Genomic DNA, 24,537 nt, shown 5'->3' with positions numbered 1-24,537 from the left:
ATTTCATTGAAACCCCTTATTAAGCACTAATTTGGCTTTAAAAAGTTACACTGGGAGAGTCTTATAGAATGTTAATTGAACAGAAGCTCTATAGTTGACAAATTGGAATCAATCAGTGAGGGCAGGGAGATAAATCAGAGTGTTTAGTGGTATAATGAGTAAGGATGGCAATAGAAGTGTTGTAGTGGGACATTACTTCATTAGTTTGAGTTCTTGAGTCTCTCCCACTCTCCCCTCCACTTCATCTTCAAGAGAGTCATTAATAGCAGGGTTCTCTACCACTATATGACTTACAGGTGAGTTTTTGTGTTTAGTCTTGCAGTTAGCATAAATTATTTGCCACTTAAGCAGTACATCTTTTAAAAAGCTAGCTAATATACATTCTGCTGACCAGTAAAGCATGATCAGGAACCTGACTGTTACTAAGAATACAAACATGGAAATATATAGAAAACAAAAAAATGCATAAAATGTTATGTAGAAGCCTTACAAATAAAGCAAATAATAATATGTAATTATTTATTAATGTGTCGATCAAAACCGGCTTGTTCAAAGTTTATGATAGTACCACAGAAATTGCTTGCTTTCCCATCTGGGTTAAGATAAATGATGTTTTCCCTCTTTCTAGGAAATAATATAATCTGACAAGAATTAAAACCAAGTATAAGGTCAACACAAATGAATACAGATAAATAATACTTTGTCACTCCTCAGCATAGATTGTGTTTAGTTCATGATTATTAATTTTTAGAAAAAAAGGGAAATATTGTAACATTTCAGTATTAAAAGTGAGAATTTGGGGACGGAGAGCTGGACAGAAATTAAATAATATGGCAGAAAATATGGCGGCTTTCCTCAAATATAAATATACAACAGTCTCTTCTTGTACAGGCTTTACTTTAGCTCTGATACTTGTTTTTAGAGAAATTATGGCCTATAGATGTGTTCTCATCTCTTACAAGGTATATAAATACAGTGACTTTTACACTTTAGGATATAATTTATCCTTGTTATAGGCACATAACTTTCTTTTGCTCTCCAGTTTCTGTTTTCTGAGCCCTAAACTGAGAAAATATTTTGTTGTTTTTCTTTATTGTTGCTTGATTTGGAGTCATAGATTTAGCTATGATGACACAGAATCTGTCCTTGTATTAAACAACAAAACAGCAAGTAGGTAATTACTTGTACCTTCGTTAGGAAGAAATTTTACCCACCTGGTTATTTACGTATTGCTGATTGCCCCTGGATTTTCATTAGTCTTTTTTATACATATGGAGATACCATGGCTACTCTCATGTTGCCATGCTACCTCCTCCAGCAGCTTCCCTTCACATTAAGGGGGAAAAAAAATCACAGTCCTTTCCTGTTCTAAGTGACCTTAAATGAAATATCCCCTGACTGCCACTCCAAATTTGTTCTTTATCACTCACCTCCTTCCTTGATCCACAGCAGGCAAAGCCAGCTCTTCCGAGTATACTTCTGTCTCTGGGCATTAGACTTCCTGCTCTTTCCACCCTCGCGTATTTTTTCTTGAATAGATGCACGCTTTTACATTCTTATTCCTTTCAGCTTTCTTCTTATTCCCCACCCCCCCTCCCCAAAAATACCTAAAGGCCAAATGGCAATTATTTTCTAGTACAGAAGAGAATTCATTGATTTTGTTTTACTGTTTTTTTTTTTTCCTCCGGAGTTATTTAGGTCAAAGTTTTTGAAAGATCTTTATGTAATGCCTACTATCAGTAAGTATATGCATAACAAGAGAATGGTCTCAAAGATTTTTGTGCTGTTGGAAATGCAGTGAATAGAAATCTGTATGTCTGAAATTTGTTTGTAATATGTATATAAATAGATTCCGTTATTCATATTTTATTGCATAGCCTTTGAATGCCCCACACTTTTCTTTATTCTCACTGCCACCACTTGTCTCTGTCACCATCTTCTCTTTCGTGTACTTCTATAAAAAACCTACTTATTGATCTCCCTCCATGAACGCTTACCTTCTCCAAGGCAGTCTTCACACAGAAGCCAGAGTGACTGTATGACACAGTAAGTCAGAATATGCTCCCCCTGGCACTGGCAGCTTCCTGTTCTTGCGGTATAAATTCCAGCTGCCTCATCACAGCTCCAAGGCCCTGCTTGCTCCTAGGCTTTTAGCTGGGCTCACCCCCTTCAGTCCTTCATAAGACTCTCCTTTGCTCACTAAACTCTAGCAACACTGGTTTTCTTTCACTTGCTTTAACATACCATGATCTCTCATGCCTTAGGGTCTTGGCTTTTTCTAATCACCCTGCTCCTTCAAAATATAACTGCATTCATAACATCTGTCTCCTCCATGAGACTGATGTACTTAGGGACCCCTTTCCTTTTGCTCACTCATGATTGGATCTCTGTAGCCAATACCATGATCAAAGTCTAGCAGGTCTCATCAAATATTGTCAAAAAAACAAAAATAGTGAGGTATAAAGTGCCATATGAATGACATGAATTTAATGTGTAGAATGAGGAGGGCAGCCTCGTGGCTGCCTTTTAATGGTCAGGGGATGTGCTGAGGAGGATGGGAAGTTCCATCGGACTCTTGATGGGTGGGTAGCATTTGGATAGTGGAAGATAAGTAAAGGGCATTCTGGGTAGAGGGACTGGCACTGGAAAACATGTTCTTGTGAACTAGCAGTAAATATTGACTGTAACACAGTGTTTTCCACTGAAAACATCTGAGATGATCCTGAAATTGTACTTTGAGGCCTTACTGTGGAACAATTTGAGTGCCAGACTAAGAAATATAAATGCATTGTGTTATTTAATTTGGGAACCTTTAGGAGTTTTGAAGTAGGTTACTTACATATTATCTGTCTCAGAAAACCAGGATACCAGATGATGTGGAAAATGGCGCGTTTTTAGGGAGTAAGTTAAGGGGGCTCTTACAATTTTAAAAACTTGAGATGATAAGTGATAAGTGTTCCTGGGGGGGGTGGTTATGGTAGAAAGAATGAGTCAAGGATGAGAGATTAGGCAGCAATGTTGTTAAAGCATTGTGTAATGACAGTAGGAGGAGAAGTCAAAGGAGACTTCTAGATTTTTGTTTGGGATATTGGATAAAATGTGGTATTATGGTCAGAGATTTGGAAGCCTTGTAGAAGAACTCATTTGAGAGCATAGATGTTAAGTTTAATTGTAAACTTTCGATTGGGGTGCTAGGAACATATCCAGTTTTAAAATCTTTAGGAATGTGGGTAAGCCTTAAACTAATCATAGGGCATTAAGTAAAGACTCAATACAGGATGAATTGAACAATAGGTGCTTAGTGCATAGAAATTATTTGTATTTCCTAAGTTTCCATTTCATAGCCTTTAGCCTATATTATTGGAATTTTTCATGTTGTTTAACTGTGGATGAAAGCACAGTTTTTTAACTAAATGGAAAATTTAGAAAGAGAAACCAGGCAGTTAAATATGATGTCTTTTTTATTGCTGACATTATCTGCATATAAAAACACATGTAAGATATATCATGTGGAAAGATATCCCCCACTGCTTCATGTAGATTCCTGACTGTATTTTGGTTGTCGGTTAAGTGGAAATCTTTTTCCTCTTCTTTGTAAAACTTTTTACTTCATAGAAATAAAGCAAACTCTCTACAGGCTTCTCTACTTTCTCTTCAGAATTTTATTGCTCCTGATAATAATGCTCCTGGACCTTTTTCCTACATCAATGTTTTAAAGGGTTGGGAGAGGGAATTTTTTTTTTTTTTTTTTGAGGGTGTAGGACTTTTGGCTAACAGCATTTCTCATTCTCAAAGAATGTCATTCACTGTAGTGGGTGGTTTGAAAATATTTACTTAAGGGTAGATAAAGAGTTCCCACCTGACATAATCTTCCTGTGTTAAAATCCCCACTCAATTTGGCATTTCTGTGTACTGTGCAGGATTGCTAAAAAGCAGTTACCATGATCAGACTGGTTGATGCATGGTAAAGATGTAAAGCAGGGTGTTTGGAATTCAACATGGATGGTAGAAATGCGAGATGTCAGAGAAGCCATATATTAAAGAGAATTTGAATTGGAAACTGAATCCCAATCTGCCACCGAGAACATTTTGATCATTTTGATTTATTAAACTTTTATAACAACATTCAGATGGAGCTGAATTAAAACCTTTAGTCTTGGATAGTTTATGGGACACCAACCACTGTGTTACCGGTATCATTTTGAAGGATCTCTTAGCGTCAGTGAAAAGGGGAAAAATGGGTGGGTAAGATACTTAATTTAAAGGAAGTTTTCACTTATATTCTTGCATCTAACTTTAAATCCCTCTTTTGTTTGCATTGTGTCACTTAAACATATTTTATAATTTCAACATATTAGATACCTTAAGGTTTTGAATTTTATTGTGAAACGTTTTTGAAATTCTGATTAATAATTTTCAGATTGAAACACTGCTTTTGTATATATGGTACAGGCTATCTTTTCTTTTTGTGTATATCTGTACACTCAGAGGCATCTGTATCTGTCTATGTTTGTGTTGCTGAGGTTTATAGATAAATATTCAAATAGAAATACTAATGCAATTTTGAAGCCTAACTTGCATGTAAATGAGTGCATTTTCCTAAAACTATTGAATTCTGTACGTCTGATTTTTTAAAAATCAACCATCAGCAATCATGGATAGTCTTTTCTGAACAGTAGCTCCATAATAAAGAGAAGTCAATCACTATTAGAGAAGCACTGTAGGTGAAAGGCACTATAGTTCACACTTGATTTTGTAGCGGGGAGAGGGTACTTAGCTGTGAATCAGGAATGATGCAAAAGATGGATGAGATAGAGTTCAAGGAGCAGTAATGTGAGAGTCCAGGACAATCATTTCAAGCTGTCTCAGCAGTAATGATGGATGGCTTGGTGGTAAGAAGTAATAATACCAGATGATGAAAGATGCATCTCAGCACCTTGAGCCCGAGCACACCATCTACCTGTTGGGGTTCTGGGGCATAATGATTCCTGATTTGCAACCAAAGGGTTTTGCTGCACTTAGCAACCCAGATTTTTGGCAGCTGTGAAGGAAGCAAGTAGCATATCAAACACTCCTTCACATTGTAAATTTAATTACCTCATATTTATGCATAGTAGTTGTTGACAGGAACTTGTAAGCTATGCTAATATGGAAGGTAATTTGTTACCTCCAGAAATCACTTTCCATGTGTCTTCTGATCATTATCATGAAACATGATAAATGATCTAGCCCATGAGGTATAAATGAAAATGAAATAGATAATTGGATTCTATGTCTACATTGTGGCTGGAATAGTCACAGCAATTATAATTGAATTTATCTCATAAAAATGAGTTGGCAATACATCAGTGACCTTTCATCATTTTGTGCCTATGGTATTATATGAAGCTACTTTTGAGATGAACACAAAAAATGTATCATAATTCTTTTTAAAGAGTAATCTCTAACACTTAAATTTTCTATTTTCTTGCCTTATCTGCCTATATATTTTTAAGTATCTAGTTTATCTACAGCGAGTTTTAACAATTAATACTGATAATCCTTTTTTTATACTGAGAATAAAGTGTTTTGTTGTTACCAGTGCCTTGACTGAATGGCTTAGGAACAGTGTAAGACACTCTGATTTTTTTTTTTTTTTTTTTTAATGAACACCCTTTATTATTAGCAGCATGTATCTTTCTGCTGGGTGATGGAAGTGTGCCTTCTTGCTGAATCTGTGTGTTCTCTTTGATTCTTATAATATGTTTCTGATATACTAAAATAAAAGAGTTTGTTTTAAATATCACCAGACTTTTTTCTCTTTACCTTCTCTTTAAGTCACTTTAAATAATAATATTTTATTATTGACATAAAAACCCTATATATTCATTGATTTGATTAACATATTTGAGGATCACCATGTGTTAATTATTGGATTTATTGCTAATAAAATGACTAAGATGCATACTCTTTAGGGGGTTATAGTGCCATATGTAACTATGGTAATATCTAGTTTTCAAATTATAACATAATTTCTTTTTTCTCCACCAGCCTCTTTCCATGAGGGTCCAAGAAGCAAATAAAGCTTCTGTTTATGTTTTTGTATTTCTAACTAAGAAAGTCTATTCCAGATTCAGTTACTAACAACTATATGGAAAATAAGAAGTTATCTGGAAATGTGACTTATCTTTTGAATGAAATATGTCAATAAGCAGGGCATGTCCCTAGGGACATTTTCTCCCACTCTTATATTTTTTAACTTGAATTTTTTTTTTTTTTTTTTTTTTTTTTTTGGTCTGTGATGCAGATTCTCACTGTGTTGTCCAGGCTAGAGTTCAGTGGCACAATCTTGGCTCACTAGAACCTCTGCCTCCCAGGTTCGAGCAACTCTCCTGCCTCCACCTCTCAAGTAACTGGGATTACAGGTGCCCCCCACCACTCCCAATTTTTGTGTATTTTTAATAGAGATGGGGTTTCGCCATATTGGCCATGTTTGGTCTCAAACTCCTGACCTGGACCTCAAACACCATCCTAAGATGGTGATCCACCCATCTTAGCCTCCCAAAATGCTGGGATTATAGGCGTGAGCCACCACGCCTGGCCTTTTCTTGAAATTTCTTCACTTTCTTTCCTTTTGTTTTTCTTCAACTTTTAAGTTCAGGGGTACATGTGCAGGATGTGCAGGTTTGTTACATACATAAATGTGTCCCATGGTGGTTTGCTGCACAGATTGTCCCATCACCTAGGTATTAAGCTCAGAATCCATTAGCCGCTCTTCCTGATGCTCTCCCTCCCCCGCATACTTCCATCCAACAGGCCCCAGTGTGTGTTGTTCCCCTCCATGTATCCATGTGTTCTCATTATTCAGCTATCACTTATAAGTGCGGAATGTGGTGTTTGGTTTTCTGTTCTTGCATTAGTTTGCTGAGGATAATAGCTTCCAAGTCTCTCCATGTCCCTGCAAAGGACATGGTCCAATTCCTTTGTATGGTTGCATGGTATTTCATGGTATACATGTACCACATTTTCTTTATCCAGTGGGTCATTTATGGGCATCTAGGTTGATTGCATGTCTTTGCTATTGCGAATAGTGCTGCAATGAACACACACATGCATGTATCTTTATAAAAGAATGATTCCATTCTTTTGGGTATATACCCAGTAGAGGGATTTCTGGGTCAAATGGTATTTCTGCCTCTAGGTCTCTGAGGAATTGCCACACTGTCTTCCGCAAGGGTTGAGCTAATTTACATTCCAACAGTTTATAAGCATTCCTTTTTCTCCACACCCTTGCCAGCATCTGTTGTTTTTGACTCTTCGATAATCACCATTCTGACTGATATGAGATGGTATCTCTTTGTGGTTTTGATTTGCATTACTCTAATGATCAGTGATGTTGATCTTTTTTTTTTTTCATGTTTGTTGGCTGCCTATATGTCTTCTTTTGAGAAATGTCTGTTCATGTCCTTTGCCTACTTTTTAATGGAGTTGTTTTCTTCTTGTAAATTCGCTTAAGTTCCTTATAAACTCTGGATATTAGACTTTTGTCAGATGGATAGATTGCAAAAATTTTCTCCCATTTTGTAGGTTGTTTGTTCACTCTGATGTTAATTTCTTTTGCTGTGCAGAAGTTCTTTCGTTAGATCCCATTTGTCAATTTTTGCTTTTGTTGAGATTTCTTTTGGTGTCTTCATCATGAAATCTTTATCCATGCCTATGTCCTGAATGGTATTGCCTAGATTTCCTTCTAGGCTTTTTATAGTTTTGAGTTTTACATTTAAGTCTTTAATCATCTTGGGTTAATTTTTGTATATGTTTTAAGGAAGGGGTCCAGTTTCAATTTTCTGCATTTGGCTAGCCAGTTCTCCCAGCACCATTTATTAAATAGGGAATCCTCTCCCCATTGCTTGTTTTTTCAGGTTTGTCAAAGATCAGATGGTTGTAGGTGGATAGTCTTATTTTTGAATTCTCTATTCTGTTCCACTGGTCTATGTGTTTGTTCTTGTATCAATACTATGCTGTTTTGGTTACTGTAGCCTTATACTGTAGCTAGAAGTTGGGTAGTATGATGCCTCCAGCTTTGTTCATTTTGCTTTGGATTGTCTTGGCTATTTAGGATCTTTTTTGGTTCCATATGAATTTTAAAATAGTTTTTTTCTAATTTTATGAGGAACATCAATAGTAGTCTAATGGGAATGCTATTGAATCTATAAATTACTTTAGGCAGTATGGCCATTTTCATGACATTGATTCTTCCTGTCCATGAGCATGGAATGTTTCCCATTTGTTTGTGTCCTCTCTGATTTCTTGGAGGAGTGGTTTGTAGTTTTCCTTGAAGAGGTCTTCCACTTCCCTTGTTAGCTGTATTTCTAGGCATTTTATTCTCTTTGTAGCAATTGTGAATGGGAGTTTACTCAGAATTTGGCTCTGTGCTTGCCTCTTGTTGGGGTATAGGACTGCTAGCAATTTTTTCACATTGATTATCCTGAGACTTTGCTGAAGTTGCTTATCAGCTTAAGAAGCTTTTAGGCTGAGGTGATGGGGTTTTCTAGGTATAGGATCATGTCATCTGCAAATAAAGATAATTCAACTTCCTCTCTTCCTATTCAAATACTCTTTATTTCTTTGTCTTGCCTGATTGCCCTGGCCAGAACTTTCAATACTATGTTGAATAGGAGTGGTGAGAGATGACGTCCTTGTCTTGTACTGGTTTTCAAGGGGAATGCTTCCAGCTTTTGCCCAATCAGCATGATATTGCCGATTTTGCCTGTGGGTTTGTCATATATGGCTGTTACTGTTTTGAAGTCTTTTCCATTGGTTTATTGAGAGTTTTTAACCTGAAGAGATATTGAATTCCATTGAAGTCCTTTTCTGCATCTATTGCGATAATCATGTGTTTTTGTTTTTGTTTTTGTTTTTTTGTCTTTAGTTCTGTTTATGTGATGAATCACATTTATTTATTTGTGTATGTTGAACCAACCTTGCATCCCGGGGAAGAAGCCAACTTGATCATGGTGGATAAGCTTTTTGATATGCTGCTGGATTCGGTTTAACAGTATTTTGTTGAGGATTTTTACATAGATGTTCATTAAGGATGTTGGCCTGAAGTTTTCTTTTGTCTGTTGTATCTCTGTCAAGTTTTGGTATTTAGGATGATGCTGGCCTTATAGAAAGAGGTAGGGAAGAATCCCGCCTTCTTAATTTTTTGGATTAGTTTCCGTAGAAATGGTACCAGCTCTTCTTTGTACCTCTGGTAGAATTCAGCTGTCAATCCATCTGATCCTGGGCTTTATTTTGGTTTGTAGGCTATTTATTAGTGCCTCAATTTCAGAATTTGTCATTGGTCTATCCAGGGATTCTATTTCAAATTCAAATTGAGTTGACTGAACCACAGAGATGGCAACCACCCCTTCCCTGGGGAACTCCGTCCTTCTTAGGTGGACGGAGCCTGTCAGCCTGTCAGCACTGTCTGGCTGGAATTCCAAGCCAGTTGGTCTTAACTTGTGAAGTGCCCTCGAAGTGGGGCCTGCAGAACAACACTGCTTGGCTCCCTGTATTCAGCCCCGCTCCTAGGAGTATGTAGTGACCCTCCCTGGGAATCCCGGGTCCAGAGTATACAAAACTCCTGAGTGTCTGTGTGTACTTAAGTGGTTGCTCTGCTGGGACATCACACAGCTCTGTGTATTGGACCCAAGGCCCTAGTAGCCTGAACTTACAAGGGGATCTCCTGATCTGCAGGTTGCAAATATTTACGGGAGAAGCGTGGTTTCCCCGGGGCAGGGTTACATAATTCCTCACCGCTTCCCCTGGCTGGGAGTGGGGCTTCCTTTGGCTTCATGTCTCCCCGAAGTGGGCCATCGCCCCACCCTGCTTTTCTTCATTTTCCGTGGGTTGAGCTGTTTGCCTAGTCAGTCCCAGTGTGAGAACCTGGATATTTCAGTGGAAGATGCTGAATTCACTCTCTGCCTTCGTTCCTCTCCTTAAGTGCCACAGATGGCATCTGCTTTTATTCGTCCATTTTCCAGGGCCTATATATCAATTTCTTCACTTTCCATACTCATTGGTAGTGATACTCCAACTAATAAGATTATTGTTAATTTTATTAATACTAGTCTTGCTACTTGAAGCAAGTTTTACATAAATATGAATAAGAAACAGATTTGTGAGATTTACCCCTTAAATTTCAATGATTCTTACTACTGTGTTACTGGGGTCATTATCTTGTCTCTAGAAACAATGCATTTCCTTTAAGTTGCTTGACTGCTATTTTTAACTGATTCCTGCCCTAACAAGTAGCATGATAGTTATTACCTACCATTTTATTTAATATTTTTAATTTTTAAAATTTGATTTAGTAAAATATATATATTTTTTAATAGAGATGGGGTCTCACTATGTTTCCCAGGCTATTCTTGAAATCCTGGCTTCAAGCAGTCCTCCCATCTCAGCCTCCCAAAGTGCTGAGATTACACGCATGAGCCGTCACGCCTGGCCAAACCTATCATTTTATAGTAGATTCTCAATACAGGAACAGGAGACGTGTGTTCCTTTCTAAATCAAATGTAGTTTATATTTGAAACTATTTAGGACTACCACACATGTCCTTTTTTTAGATTCTGATGTACTACTGTAAACATACGCACACACTCATGCACACTCACATGTGCATGGATGTGCACTCAACCTTGATTTCAGCATGGCTTTGTTAGAATCTAGGCAGAGCCTGGCATAAGTGTGGTTTATTAAAAGTTAAGAAATTATTCTGCTATTGCTCTTGCATTTTTCTTCTCCTCTTCCCTGAACATTTTTCTTGGATTTTATGTCAAGAATTATGAATTGCCTTTGTAGCGCTAAGAAAATTTTGGAAGTGTTTTCAATGTCTTTAATAATATCATGAGATTCTTTGAGTTTCAGCACTTTCCTGTTTGTAGAAAAAATAAATTACATAGAATTTAATAGCCTATCCTCTTTTAAAGTCATAGTGCTTAGTAATCAAAGAAAGTCCATAAGCACCTATTTTTAATTAATATGAAAATTAAAAACACCTTCCAGGGTAGGCTCAGTAAGGTAGGATCTTTTAATGTCCCAATCATCTTTGATTAAGTCCAATGAAAATTTTGGACTCTCTGTCCCTTCCCTTCCCCTCCCTCCCTCCCTCCCTCCCTCCCTCCCTCCCTCCTTCCCTCCCTTCTTCCTCCTCACCCTCCCCCTCCTCCTCCCCCCCTCCTCCTCATCCTTCTTCTTCTTCTTCTTCTTCTCTCTCTCTTTCTGTCTTTTTTTCTTTTTCAGACCACTCCATTGACTTCTCATTTTCAGCTTGATAAAATAGCATTAGAAAACTTTTATTTATTTATTTTACTTTTGACAGGGTCTCTCTCTGTCACCTAGACTGGTTCACTACAGCCTCAGCCTCCCAGATACAAGCAATCTCACCTCAGCCTCCCAAGTAGCTAAGACGATAGCTGAGCACCACCACACTGGCTATTTTTAATTTTATCTTTATATTTCATAGAGTCAGGAGTCTTGCTGTGTTCCCCAGGCTGGTCTTGAATGCCTGGCCTTAAGTGATCCTCCTGCCTCAGACTCTCAAATTGCTATGATAATAGGTGTGAGCCCTCTGCCTGGCCTAGAAACCTTTAAATGTATGCTGTGGAGGAAGTTTACTCTAATTTGTATCTTAAGTAGGGATGTAATCTAAATGTCTCTTCATGATAAAAGTCAAATCATGAGCTAAATCCCCTTTTAAATGACTCATTTGCAGAGTAGCTCCATTTCTACATTTGCTTACCTTACCTAGAGAGATGTTATTAGATGAGTTCAGAATTTTTCTCTGAACTAACAGTGGCAATGCAGAGTACAAATAATATCAAGACATTAAAGACCTAACTTTGCATGATTCCAGTATAATGTTACATAAAAGAAATATATTCTCATAATAGAGAGATGCTCTGGGAAATGTATGAACCATCATATATAGATGAATTCAAATAAGTAATTCTGAAGAACTTGTAGTTAGAAAGCAGAAAAAAGTTTACTTGATGCCTTTATGTGGTATAATCACATCACAATATATGTAACATACAAAGATGGCTGTAGAACTCCACTGCTCCTTCTAACCTATACTTGATCCATCTCATAGGCAGAAGCATTTGAATGCCTAAACTTTTGCAGATGGCTATTCTTCATGTTTCTTTTGATTTCGGGGATTCTCTTGCTTTAGAAGTCAAAAGATCTGGTACATTGAAGCATTTAAGGAAAAACATAGACGCCCATGTTTGTGATTGATTTAGGAATTTTCAAGAGAAATTTTGAAGGAATTAGATTTTGCCATACATGCTGGCTTTAAATGTTAAATCTCAGGATGAGATTCCACTTCTACTTAGTGGCCCTTGCGGGGGTTGGCCCTTGTGGGAGTTGGTGGATTTTCTGGTTAAGAGTTTAGTTTGTTTCCTCCCTTTCCCTACCCTTTCCCTCCCTCCCTCCCTCCCTCCCTCCCTTCCTTCCTTGATATATTGTAGGCATATGGAAAAGTGTATATTAAACATATAGTTTGATAAATGTATATATAGCTTGTTGAATATTACCAGCACCCCAGAAGTGCTACCTCATTCCATTCTAGTTAATAACCTCTTCCCCCAGAGTAACCACTGTTCTTGGTTTATAACATTAATAAGTAACAGGTATATGGCATCTTACATATGAATAGTTTATACTCTTATCTGGTTTCTCTCATTCAGCATTAAGTTTGTGAAATCTGTATTGCTGCATGTAGCTATGCATCATAGAACATCATTGTTATGAAATCTTGTTGTGTGACTGTGCCACAATTTATTCATTTTTCTGATGATAGACATTTGGTTCTTTTTCACCTTGAGCTATTTACAATAGCAGTATTTGAATATACTACTATATGACTTTTCAGGAACAGATGGGATCATTTTGGGGTAGCACGTACCTGAAAGCGGAATTGCTAGGTCATAGGGTATGCTGATTTTCAGCTCAAGGAGGTACTGGCAAAAAATTTTCTTAATTTCTCATATAATTTATACTCCACCTTGCAAGCATAAAGTTTCACATCTTCACCAACAGTTGACATTATCTTGCTTTCCATTTCTAATTATCTTCTTATGTTAATACTTTTATTTGTTCATAAGTGCATTCATTCAACAAATATTGATTGCACTGAAGACATAAATGTAATTCAAAGGCAAACAATATACAGTCCTTGCCTTCAAGAAAGTCAGTAAGTGAAGAGAGAGGCAAAAAATATAGGTAAATCTCTTACCAGAAAAAGTGCGTTTATTTCAGGCTGAAGAGAGTGTAGTGAGAAAGGTTTTCAGAGGCAGTAATAACTGAACTGAAATTTGAAGATAGATAACTTTGCTAAGTGTATAAATGGCAAAAAGACACTCTAGGAAGTATAGGATAAAGGTGGAATGATTTTTATTATTATACTTTAAGTTCTGGGGTACTTGTGCAGAATGTGCAGTTTTGTTACATAGGTATACACATGCCATGGTGGTTTGCTGCACCCATCAACCCATCACCTACATTAGGTAATTCTCCTAATGCTATCCCTCCCCTAGCCCCCTACCCCCACAACAGGCCATGGTGTATAATGTTCCCCTCCCTGTGTCCATGTGTTCTCGTTGTTCAACTCAAGGTGGGATGATTTTAAGAGAAGAGTTTCCCATGGAAAACACAAGTTGTTAAATGTGAACATATAATTGGACTTGAAGAGTGATAACACATGAGGCTGGACAGATGAGCAGGGGACAGATCATGAAAGGGCAGTGCATTTATTTTAGGAAGTTTGCATCTTTCTCAGAAGTTTACTTTCAGCTGTCTTAATAAGACATAGAGTTCTATTTATCACCTGCTGCATCATAAAACTTAGTGGCATAAAACAATAACCATTTTATAGTGTTCACAGCTTCTGTGGGCTATAAATTTGGGTGATATGTATAGATCACTCCAGTATGATATTTGGGTCCCGAGCTGAGAGTCTCAAATTGAACAGCTAAAGGTGATTTAAACTCCTGGAGGCTAGAATCATCTGGCACAAGTCTGGCACTTGAATTGGGATAATGCCACTGGCTAATTGAAAATTGGAAATGGTGGCACCTAGAACAAGTGTTCTAGGTCTCATTACATCACTTTCTCTGCACTATACTTGTTGAGGCAGGCATGAGGTCTCTCTGGATTGAAGGGGATCCAGCCTCTCAATGCGAGTGCTATCAGAGAATTTGTAGCGCATTTTCAGACCATTGCAGTGACTAATGTTATTTTGTGCCTTTATTTCATGTTCTTTTTGTTGTCTACCGTAATAGTCACAAAAATCTATCTAGTATAGTTTGATTGTCCCCCCTCCCCAGCCATTCTGAGTGTAATTTGAATATCACCTAGGGGACACCTTGGTTTAGAGAGCACAGTCTTAACCATTGATCTCTTTTTCCTCACATAATTGACATTGGTTTTATAAAGAAGAAAATATACAATGAGTACATTTATATCTCTGTTTAACATAATTTGCATTTATATATTAAAATAAATTTTGAAAGTAGATTTCAAAATATCCAGGTACAAATTAGTGCCTTTATAGTTTAAGCAAATTATTATGCTGTATAGTAATGATACATCTAGTATACTTCTCTGATTAATTTCCAAGTTTAGTATCTTGACATTTGTTCAATGTCAGACTTTTAATTTAAAACCTGGACATAGACATTTAAAGATAGCTAATGCATGAGGGGCTTAAAACCCAGATGACAGGTTGATAGGTGCAGCAAACCACCGTGGCACATGTATACCTATGTAACAAACCTGCATGTTCTGCACATGTATCCTGAACTTAAAGTAAATTTTTTAAGCCAAAAAAAAAAAAAAGAAAAAAACAAAAGAGATTAAAAAATGTAATTGTATGGCGCTGGAGCAGGAATTGATACCCTTCAGTTACAATATGGAGATCTCTCAGCTATCAACTTATATTAGTGCATCATTTTACAAAATTTCATACCAAAGAAACATGGTACCTTCTTCTTTTTTCTATAATGTTTAAAATAGTAGCCTTCCTTTCTCAATTCTTTATTCGTCTTACATCCACTGATTGAGGTAATATTTTCAGGAATCTTCAATATCTATGAAAATATTAGTGCCATTTTATGTCTTATGGTTCTTTTCTCCAGCAAATTTTCAGCTGACCTGGCTGAGCGTGGAAAAGGATAGGGAATTTGAAATTTACAGAAAAGAGTATATGAATAGTCTGGATTGGTAGCCATTTTATGTCCTTATTTTTTAAAGGCATGGTATTTATCAAAGTAGACTAGGAAGCTCTCTTGTTACTTAGGAACAGTAGCTGTGAAAGAAGAACCCAACTCCTTAGCTGTGTAATTGCATTACTTGTGCTCTAGAAACTATTTTACTAGCCTGGAAATTTCTCTTGCTGTGCATGTTGGATTATAGAACTAGGACTCCCTTCCAGTATTTCATATTTTGGATGATATGACTTATTTTGATACTATGAATGTCAGATGCCCCATTAAGGTGTGAAAGTGAGTGTGTTCAAGGGGAGTTGAAATAAAAGGTCTTTTGCTGGCTTGGCTGTCACACTGGTATAAAATGTCTTTGAACAGGTAACTATTTTTACATGGTTAAGCATCTTAAAAATATTATTAACTTGTTATTTTATCAGATGGGTCTATAATTATTGCCAACCTTCAGCTTCCATCTATTTATAAAACTAGGTGTGGTGATTTTGATAGCACTTTGATTATTGAGGACAGGTATTTTGGCCCCTAAAGGAATGGTAATAGAATTAGATGATTAAAATATTTTTTCAGAAGTCCTTATAGTAACCATATTGATAGATCTGCTTTAATGCATTCTCTTTTTTCTTCCCCCATCATTAAGCCTACATATTCTCCAATTGCCCATGAAAACCTGCCTTTCTTAGTTGAAAGACTTATTAGAAGTACGTAATAACCTGTCCTCTGGTTCCCAGGTCATGTCTACCTGACTTTTTTATATCATTGCCATCAGGATAGCTTACCTAAAGTCAGTGACTCCATGTAGTGAACTCATTTCTCCTTAAAAGTTCTGTATCTCTTAATCCAATAAGACACATGATTGTTTTTTGTTTAATTCCAAAATTGAGGCTATTTTGGACAATTGCTAATTAATATCATTTGATGTCCCTGAATAAATATATATTGAGAATTTTTACGTTATAAAACTTAGTTGGATCTATATAAGCTAATGACAAATTTTCTTTGCTATGAAGATCTTTAAATAAGTCTCTGAAGATTTATGTTTTTTTGATCCAAAGAGAGGCTTATAACTATGACTGCTTTGGAGTTAGTAGTACATACATGAATCCTGTTATCTAGTGGAATTTTATATATGACTGAGGTCTTGTTCCATTAGTTTTACTATGTCATCACAATTCCTTTTTCGTAAAAAAGTAAATATATTAGTTGTACATACAGGGATATGCCTGGACAAGTCATCGTGACTCTGTACCCTACATAGACATGTAGAAATAATAGGTAGATAATAATTCCCCTGATTAACTTAGGGTAAATAAAGTTTTGCATTTTACCTGACTGGAAACCAGGGTCATTGAGTGGAGGATGCAAGTAGTGTCTCCTGATTTATTGCAGGTCTGAGTCATTACATTTTAAAATGGTCATCAGTTGTTGGTTTCATGTGCTTAATATTGACTTCGTTATTTGGTATTGACTTGAAATGATTACAAAGTATGTATTTATAATATGCTTGTACGTTGTATGTTACAAAGACTCATCACAATGGAGTGTTTAGACCTGGGGAGTAAGTTGGCAAACTTAGATTAGGTTTCGTTACAACTAAGTGTCACAAAAATCTTCTAATTACATAGGTTTCAAATTTCTTAAAATTTGGAATTTAGGCTGATGACATTTTACAAATGTATTTATATTCTAGATGTGGAAGATTCAGGATATTTTTAATAATTTTTTTAAACTATATATACATATCACATATATTTACATATGTGTATGTGTCTGCATATATGTATATTACACACACACATCTATAAATAGAGATTATATTCTCATTATAGAGATTTTGCAGTAGGTTTTTTTTAAAATTGATATCTTGTTTACTGGATTCAGCCATTGTGTCTTAATATGAAATGAATGTGGATAGTGTTATTGTACTCCAAGTCCTTTTGCCTATAATCTAGAATGGAATAATAGCCAGTGCTATATAATCTAGGCATATTCAACAAGTAACTGGGACATATATTGCCATTGACAAACACAGTTCCCTTCCTTTCTCCAACCATATATTTTTTAAAAAGTCTCCTAGCTCTTAAAGGTGACTGATGATGTGGTGAGGTGATCACCTGTTTATGGCCCTAGACTTCAGTGAACTGAACAGAGTTAAAGGCTTTCCTAGTTTTATTGCTGACTTGATTGTTATTCCTGGAATCAACTGGATGTTCTTTTCTTGAAATACTATGAACAGTTTGAGCTCTGACAAAGCTGAAATGAGGTATTAAATGACCATGAGAAAAATCTTCTGTATTTATTAGCTTATGAGTCATTCATAGGGATTCATAACTTTCATCATAACATGGTTTGCCACCATGTTGACTGTAGTACTGAGAGAGGCTTTTGTAAAGTTGTTAAAATTATTGCTATAATTGGCCGGGCGCGGTGGCTCACGCCTGTAATCCCAGCACTTTGGGAGGCTGAGGCGGGTGGATCACGAGGTCAGGAGATCGAGACCATCCTGGCTAACACGGTGAAACCCCGTCTGTACGAAAAATACAGAAAAATTAGCCTGGCATAGTGGCACGCACCTGTAATCCCAGCTACTCGGGAGGCTGAGGCAGGAGAATGGCATGAACCCAGGAGGTGGAGCTTGCAGTGAGCTGAGATCATGCCACTGCACGCTAGCCTGGGCAACAGAGCAAGACTCCGTTTCCTAATAATAATAATAATAATAATAATAATAATAATAATATATATATAAATATTATTGCGATTTATCATTCTAAACCAATTCACTACATGGATATTAATGAAGAGAGTAGTTTTGGACAAAATGAGACGCTACTTTTTAGTTTCCCTATAGTTTGATTATGAGCTAAAGGACACATAAACTTACTTTTTAAAATTCCATCACCTTTTCATCCACCCTAAATATGAACCTAACCTTGTTTTAGTTTCTGCTGACATCTAAAACAGTATGCTGCAGCTGTGCCTTTTTATTTCAAGCAGGTAATAAAGTTATTGCAGCAATGTTTTCAAATCAAGGTGAATAAAACGCCATGGTAATGCATAGGATATAAAATTCAGTATGCAAAATTTGCAGTTTCATTGCTGAAATGATTCTTCTTATTTCAGCACTTTAGGCAGCAGGAAAGAGCCATGTCATAGACATTAAATACTGTAATTCTACAGATCTTGCACTTCAAAAACTGAATACATATCACATGGGGACTTGAGAGACAAAATCATTGTTGAATATGAAGAGCAGCATATTTAGCATCAGAATTTTCTCCTACCCTGAATTAAATTTTTGTTCAAGGGACACACACACACACACACACACAAGTATTAGTACAATTATATACAATTTCTTATTGATCTTGTGTATTCGAATTAGTTTTAAAATATATAAATCGGTGTGTTTTCTTCACATGGAAAATACTTAAAACATTTTAATTGATGTGATTTGTAGAAAAGACAAAAAAAATTAATGCTAGAATTGTAGCTGTGCCTTTTTTTTTTTTTTTTTTTTTTTTCACAAGCTGGATAAATCATTTGATTCCACTTGGTCACTAAGCAGTTGCTTAGAATGTGTTCTTTTGTTCCAGTCAACTAACTCTTTTAATTAAAGAGTAACAATTTGTAGGTGCTATGTATCAGTGTCAGGGCATTTGGCTTGCTACATCGTTCAGAGTGTGAGATGTTACATCTTACTTTTTAAGGGCTTAATGTTAACACCTGAAAATTAAATAAGTAAATAAATAAAGTTTGGGTATTGTGTTCTCCAAGTGTCGATTCTTACATTGAAGTGTACATTTTAAAATGTGGACTAGGTAGAATTTACGTAGTTTTTTCCTTCCTTCCTTCCCTCCTTCCCTCCTTCCCCCTCTCCCTTTCTCCCTTCTTCTCTTCCTCCCTTCCTCCCTTCCTCCCTCTCCTCCCCTCCCCGCTTCCTCCATGCCCTCCCCTCCCCTCCCCTTCCCTTCCCTTCCCTTTTTCTGATATAGGGTCTCATTCTGTTGCCCACACTGGAGTGCAGTAGCGTGATCCTGGTTCACTACAGCTTCAACTTTCCCAGGCTCAGGTGATCTTCCCATCTCAGCCTCCCGAGTAGCTGGGACCACAGCTGCCACCACACCTGGCTAATTTCTGTATTTTTTGTGGAGATGGGGTTTCACCATGTTGCGCAGGCTGGTCTCAAACTCCTGGGCTCGAGCGATTTGCCTTCCTCAGCCTCCTAAAATGCTAGGATTACAGGCATGAGCCACTGCTCCCAGCTGATAAGTTTTTCTTACGGTGGCATGGGTAACTTTTTTTCTTTGGGGCATTGTTAAGGCAGTCATTCATTCTATAATAATAGTATTGAACTTTGTCAGGCGCTAAAAGAAACACTGGGAATGTAATGATGAGAATGTTTTGTGGGCACCTAACAAATTGTATTGAAAAACAAGGATAAAAGAAAAAGCTAAGTCACTCATGGTCCTGGAGTTCCCTGGTCACTGCTATTAACTTTTTGGTATGTTTTCTTTTGCTTTTGGTGGTTGCTGATTTTGTTTTTTCAGGGGTATGCTTTTTACTTTTGAAAGTGAAAACTAATAATCTTTATAACTTGTGTTCTGTTGAGAAGTTACACCATGATTTACCTCCCATTTTCCCATCACTGATTATTTTGATCAAGTTTTTACTTTACTTTTAAGCAAAGACTGAAAGTATCTCCTTATGATAAATTTCCCAAAGTGTTATTACTTTACACATATCTATTTCTTGATACATAAATTATTTTCCAAAAATACTGTTATCAGTTCACTTGCCTGTGAGCAATTCGTGTAGTCACATGCCCATTTCCCTGTGTTTCCCTGGCCACAGTCAAGCCAGTGTGAATAAATGATCACTGCCACAGCCACAGAGCTTGCACTCTCCTCCTCAAAATTCTGCTCCATTGCCCTTTTGAAAAATGGAAATATAAGTGATATAGTTTTAGGTAGGGATACGTGGTAAATTTATTATTTTCAGCATTGTTAAAATTATTTTCTACATTGTTGAGCTGTTCTAGAGGAACCTATTATTGTTTTGGACTAGAGATTTTTTTTTTCGCTTCAGATTTATTAAGTTATGATTAACAAATAAAATTGAATATATTTAAGTTGTACAATGTGGTCTTTTGGTATATGTATACAATTTGAAATAATTATCAAGCTAATTACCATATATTTATCATCTCACCATTTATTTGTGGTGAGAATATTTAATATCTACTCTCATAGAAATGTTGAAATATATAATAAATTATTATTAATTATACTTACCTATATTATAGTTATAGTAGACCTCCAAAACTTATTCATCTGAACAAATTCTGTACACTTTGAACATCTCTCCATTTCCCTACAAACTCCCCGCCCTGCCCCTGCCCTGCCCCGGTGCTCCTGGTAACCACCATTCTACTCTCTGCTTCTATGAGTTCAAGCTTTTTAGATTTCACATATAAGTGAGATCACGCAGTATTTGTCTTTCTGTGCCTGGCTTTTGAATAATTGCCCCCAGTAGGGAGCCACTGGGAGAGAATGAAGAAACTCTGTTTAGCTGAATATAATTAACAGTAATAAAAATATAGTATAAACAAACATATATAATATCCCATTAAATAGATACTTTATTATTTGTAATTCTTTTTTCCCCTTTTATCTAAAGTTTTCTACCTACTTACCACTGTGAAATCATGTGTGCTTATTTCATGGTTCTCAGAAGTTACTCGTGTGTGAAATATTGTAAGCATAGGCATGGGGGCACAGTACACACTCTTTCTTTAGTTCATCATAGCTATATGCAGACACCAATCGAATTTTCATAGAGATGGTAGTAGATAGTGGTAGCTCCTTCTGATTGATACCTACATAGGTACTGGCATAGGGGCCTCAGGTCCCAACATCCAAACTTTGTGATGTCTTAGCATTAACTTTATTTGACCAGTACAAGCTTATGAGCCACCTGAGTAATATGATTTGAAAAAGGTCTCCAGGCCAGGCCTGGTGGCTCACAACTGTAATCCCAGCACTTTGGGAGGCTGAGGTGGGCAGATCACCTGCGGTCTGGAGTTTCAGACCAGCCTGGCCAACATGGTAAAACCCCATCTCTACTAAAAATACAAAAATTAGCTGGGCGTGGTGGCAAGTATCTGTAATCCCAGCTACTTGGGAGGCAGAGGCAGGAGAATTGCTTGACCCTGGGAGGCCAAGGTTGTGGTGAGCCAAGATCACACCACTGCACTCCAGCCTGGATAACAGAGCGAGACTCTGTCAAAAAAAAAAAAAAAAAAAAAAAAAAAAGGTATCTATCACTTGAATTGATGGGTTTAAGAATAGATTTTAACATAATAAAACAAATTTAACTCAATTCTATCAGTGTACAAAGTAAATAAAACTTAATAGTAATTTAGATTAAAAAATTTATAGAATTTGCTGACTGCATTGTGAGCTAAAATATGAGCTAAATTTATGATGAGTTGTTTGGCTTCCCAAGGAACTTGTGAGAACTGAAAATTTGAAGTATCAGAAAAATAACAGTGTGAAATCATGAAAGAATTCTCATAAATATATCTGGGTTGCAGTTTTTAAACTGGCAGTGTAGGAGAAACCTTATTAAATCTAAAATTTTCAAATGTATACTTCTTATTTTAACATCTAAGGAAAAGTTAAATTGTGTTGTTATACATATGATATTAAATGTCCAAATAAATTGCTTCTAAATATGAATAACCTGCTTTCTGTTTGTTATGGGAGCAAAGGTCATCTTTCTATTCATCAGTAATATTAAGTTTCTTGAAATGCTCAAGAATTTATTAAATTATGTTACCAACTTGTTGACATAATTTAAAATCATTTAAAATTATTGTAGGGGTAGCTGATAAATGCCTGAATTAGATGGTCCAATGATGTCTTTCTTCTTCCTCTTAGCCTCCCTCATGTCCATTTACTTGCACTTCTAGTAGGTGATGGGGAAGAAAATTAAACAATGAGAAACACTGTGAATTTGTTGTCTAACAGGAACCAGAACTGGATAAAAATTTTAGTGAGGGAAATTATAAAGAAACAGAGTAAAACTGACTTCAAAGTGATTCTTTCATTTAAGTAAAGAAATGGTAACAAATAAAAAAAATTCCATCTGCAGGGCAAACATTCTAGTGTTGAATGTGTTAATAGAGCAGTGGACTCCTGTAAAACATGATTTTCATCATCTCTGTTTTTCCCTTTTACAAAAAATAGTAAAAAGAAAAATATGGGCCAGGTGTGGTGGCTCACACCTGTAATCCCAGCATTTTGGGAGGCCGAGGTGGGAGGATCACAAGGTCAGGAGTTTGAGACCAGCCTGGCCAATATAGCGAAACCCCGTCTCTACTAAAAAATACAAAAATTAGCCGGGTGTGGTGGCATGCACCTGTAGTCCCGGCTATTTGGGAGGCTGAGGCAGGAGAGTAGCTTGAACCCGGGAGGCAGAGGTTGCAGTGAGCCGAGACTGCTCCATTGCACTCCAGCCTGGGTAACAGATGAGACTCTGTCTCAAAAAAAAAAAAAAAAAAAAAAAGAAAAAGAGTAAAATATGATATATATATAAATTATTAACTCTTAAATAATCTGCTACTCTGGACCCAGCTCAGAAACTTTTGTAGGTGAAGTGTTTTCTGCTCACAAGCTTCCTACCAACTGGAGAAAAAGTGGAGTTGAAATATCTGGCAGGAGGAAGGATGAGATCATAGTCCATGTCTGTGGTAGGCTGAAAAATGCCCCCCAAATAGATTCTAATCCTTGGAACCTGTAATGTTCCTTATATGGAAAAATGATGTTTGCAGGTGTGATTAAGTTAAGGATGTTGAAATGGTGAGAAGATGCTGGATTATACATATGGGGCCTAACTGCAATCACAAGCATCCATATCCATATGGAAGGCAGAGGGAGATTTGACTACAGACAGGAGAGGAGAAGGCATTGTGAACAAATGAAAGGAATTTGGAGGGACAGGAATACCAGCACCACCAGAAGTTAGAAGACTCAATCAACTGATTTTCTCCTAGAGCCTTTATAGGAAGTACGGCCTTCTGACAGCTTGATTTTGACCGAGTGGTACTGATTTCAGATTTCTGGCTTCCAGGACTTGGAGAGAATCTCTGTTGTTTTAAGCCACCAAGTCTGTAGTAATTTGTTGCAGCAGCCATAGGAGAATAATGTAATATCATTGCCTCCTTCTGTAGTGGTAGGACTAATCTTACGATACTTTATGTCAAGGCCCCATTGACAAATAAAACCCTTAGGAAGGAGGTAGGATTGAGAGGTATTTAATTTATCTAATTGGGAAATTAAATGTAGAAGTATTTTTTGCCTTGACATTTACTTTGTTGCTGACTTTTCCTGGATTTATGGCTTCTATTTTTTATTCTGCATTTTATTAGTTAACTGAATTTTGCTAAGTGACACATGTGTTTGTAAAATAACATTATAATAGGAATAACTGAATGGGAGTATTTTTTCATAATGATTTGCTTGATTTCAAGACACTTTTAAAAATTATTTGAAATAAAAATAAAACAATTTGAATATATAATTCGGGTTTTATAATAGGTTCAGTTCTAGAATAATGAATGTAAGTCATTAATTGGAAGTTAATTGGTAACATCGGCAAAGTTTATCTTATATTTTGGGGATTGCATGCTTCATTTGATACCTCCTGTACAACTGGGATTTATTCGCACCTCACTTCTGGGTCTGGTTGTGTATTGTTATGAAGAATATTAATATTGCTGCAGAACGATTACTTGTTCATTTGTGAACTGATTAAAATTCATGCATAATTTATTGAAATGAATAGAAATTTTATAAATAAGCCCCATTGTTATCAAGGGCCTGAAAACAAAATACATATGCTAATATAAAGCTACTTTTTACCTCCAACATAAAAATTTAATATGTAGTGGTATATTAGCCTCATTAATGCTAGATTTTACATCTTAAAATCATGCTGTTAATCAATACATATGCTTTTAAGCCTCTCTTAACATTGCCACATTTCCAAATTTGAGCAATTGCTTTGATGCTGGACTGCCCCCATTTTTGGCCTGACCATGGAAAGTGAGATGTAAAACTGGCCAGAGTGAACTACTACCCTTCTGACCAAGTCTTGACTGATTACATCAAACTTATTTCTTCATATACAAACAACACTAGTGTTGAATATTAATTTTCAGTGTTAAAATGTATATGCTATATGGCAAAACAGAACAAAGCAACCTAGCATCACACAGGGCTTGTTGGTG

General features: G+C 36.5%; 1 protein-coding gene across 6 annotated transcripts in view; it reads left to right on the top strand.

Annotated features, from left to right (window-relative positions):
* The window catches only part of PTPRK (protein tyrosine phosphatase receptor type K), a 551,815-nt gene that overhangs the window by 308,550 nt on the left and 218,728 nt on the right, over nucleotides 1–24,537 (top strand). The gene's annotated exons all lie outside the window — the stretch shown is intronic.

The sequence above is a fragment of the Homo sapiens genome, chromosome 6 (assembly GCF_000001405.40).
Source record: "Homo sapiens chromosome 6, GRCh38.p14 Primary Assembly".
Classification (NCBI taxonomy): Eukaryota; Metazoa; Chordata; class Mammalia; order Primates; family Hominidae; genus Homo; species Homo sapiens.
This window is presented reverse-complemented; position numbering and strand designations above follow the sequence as displayed.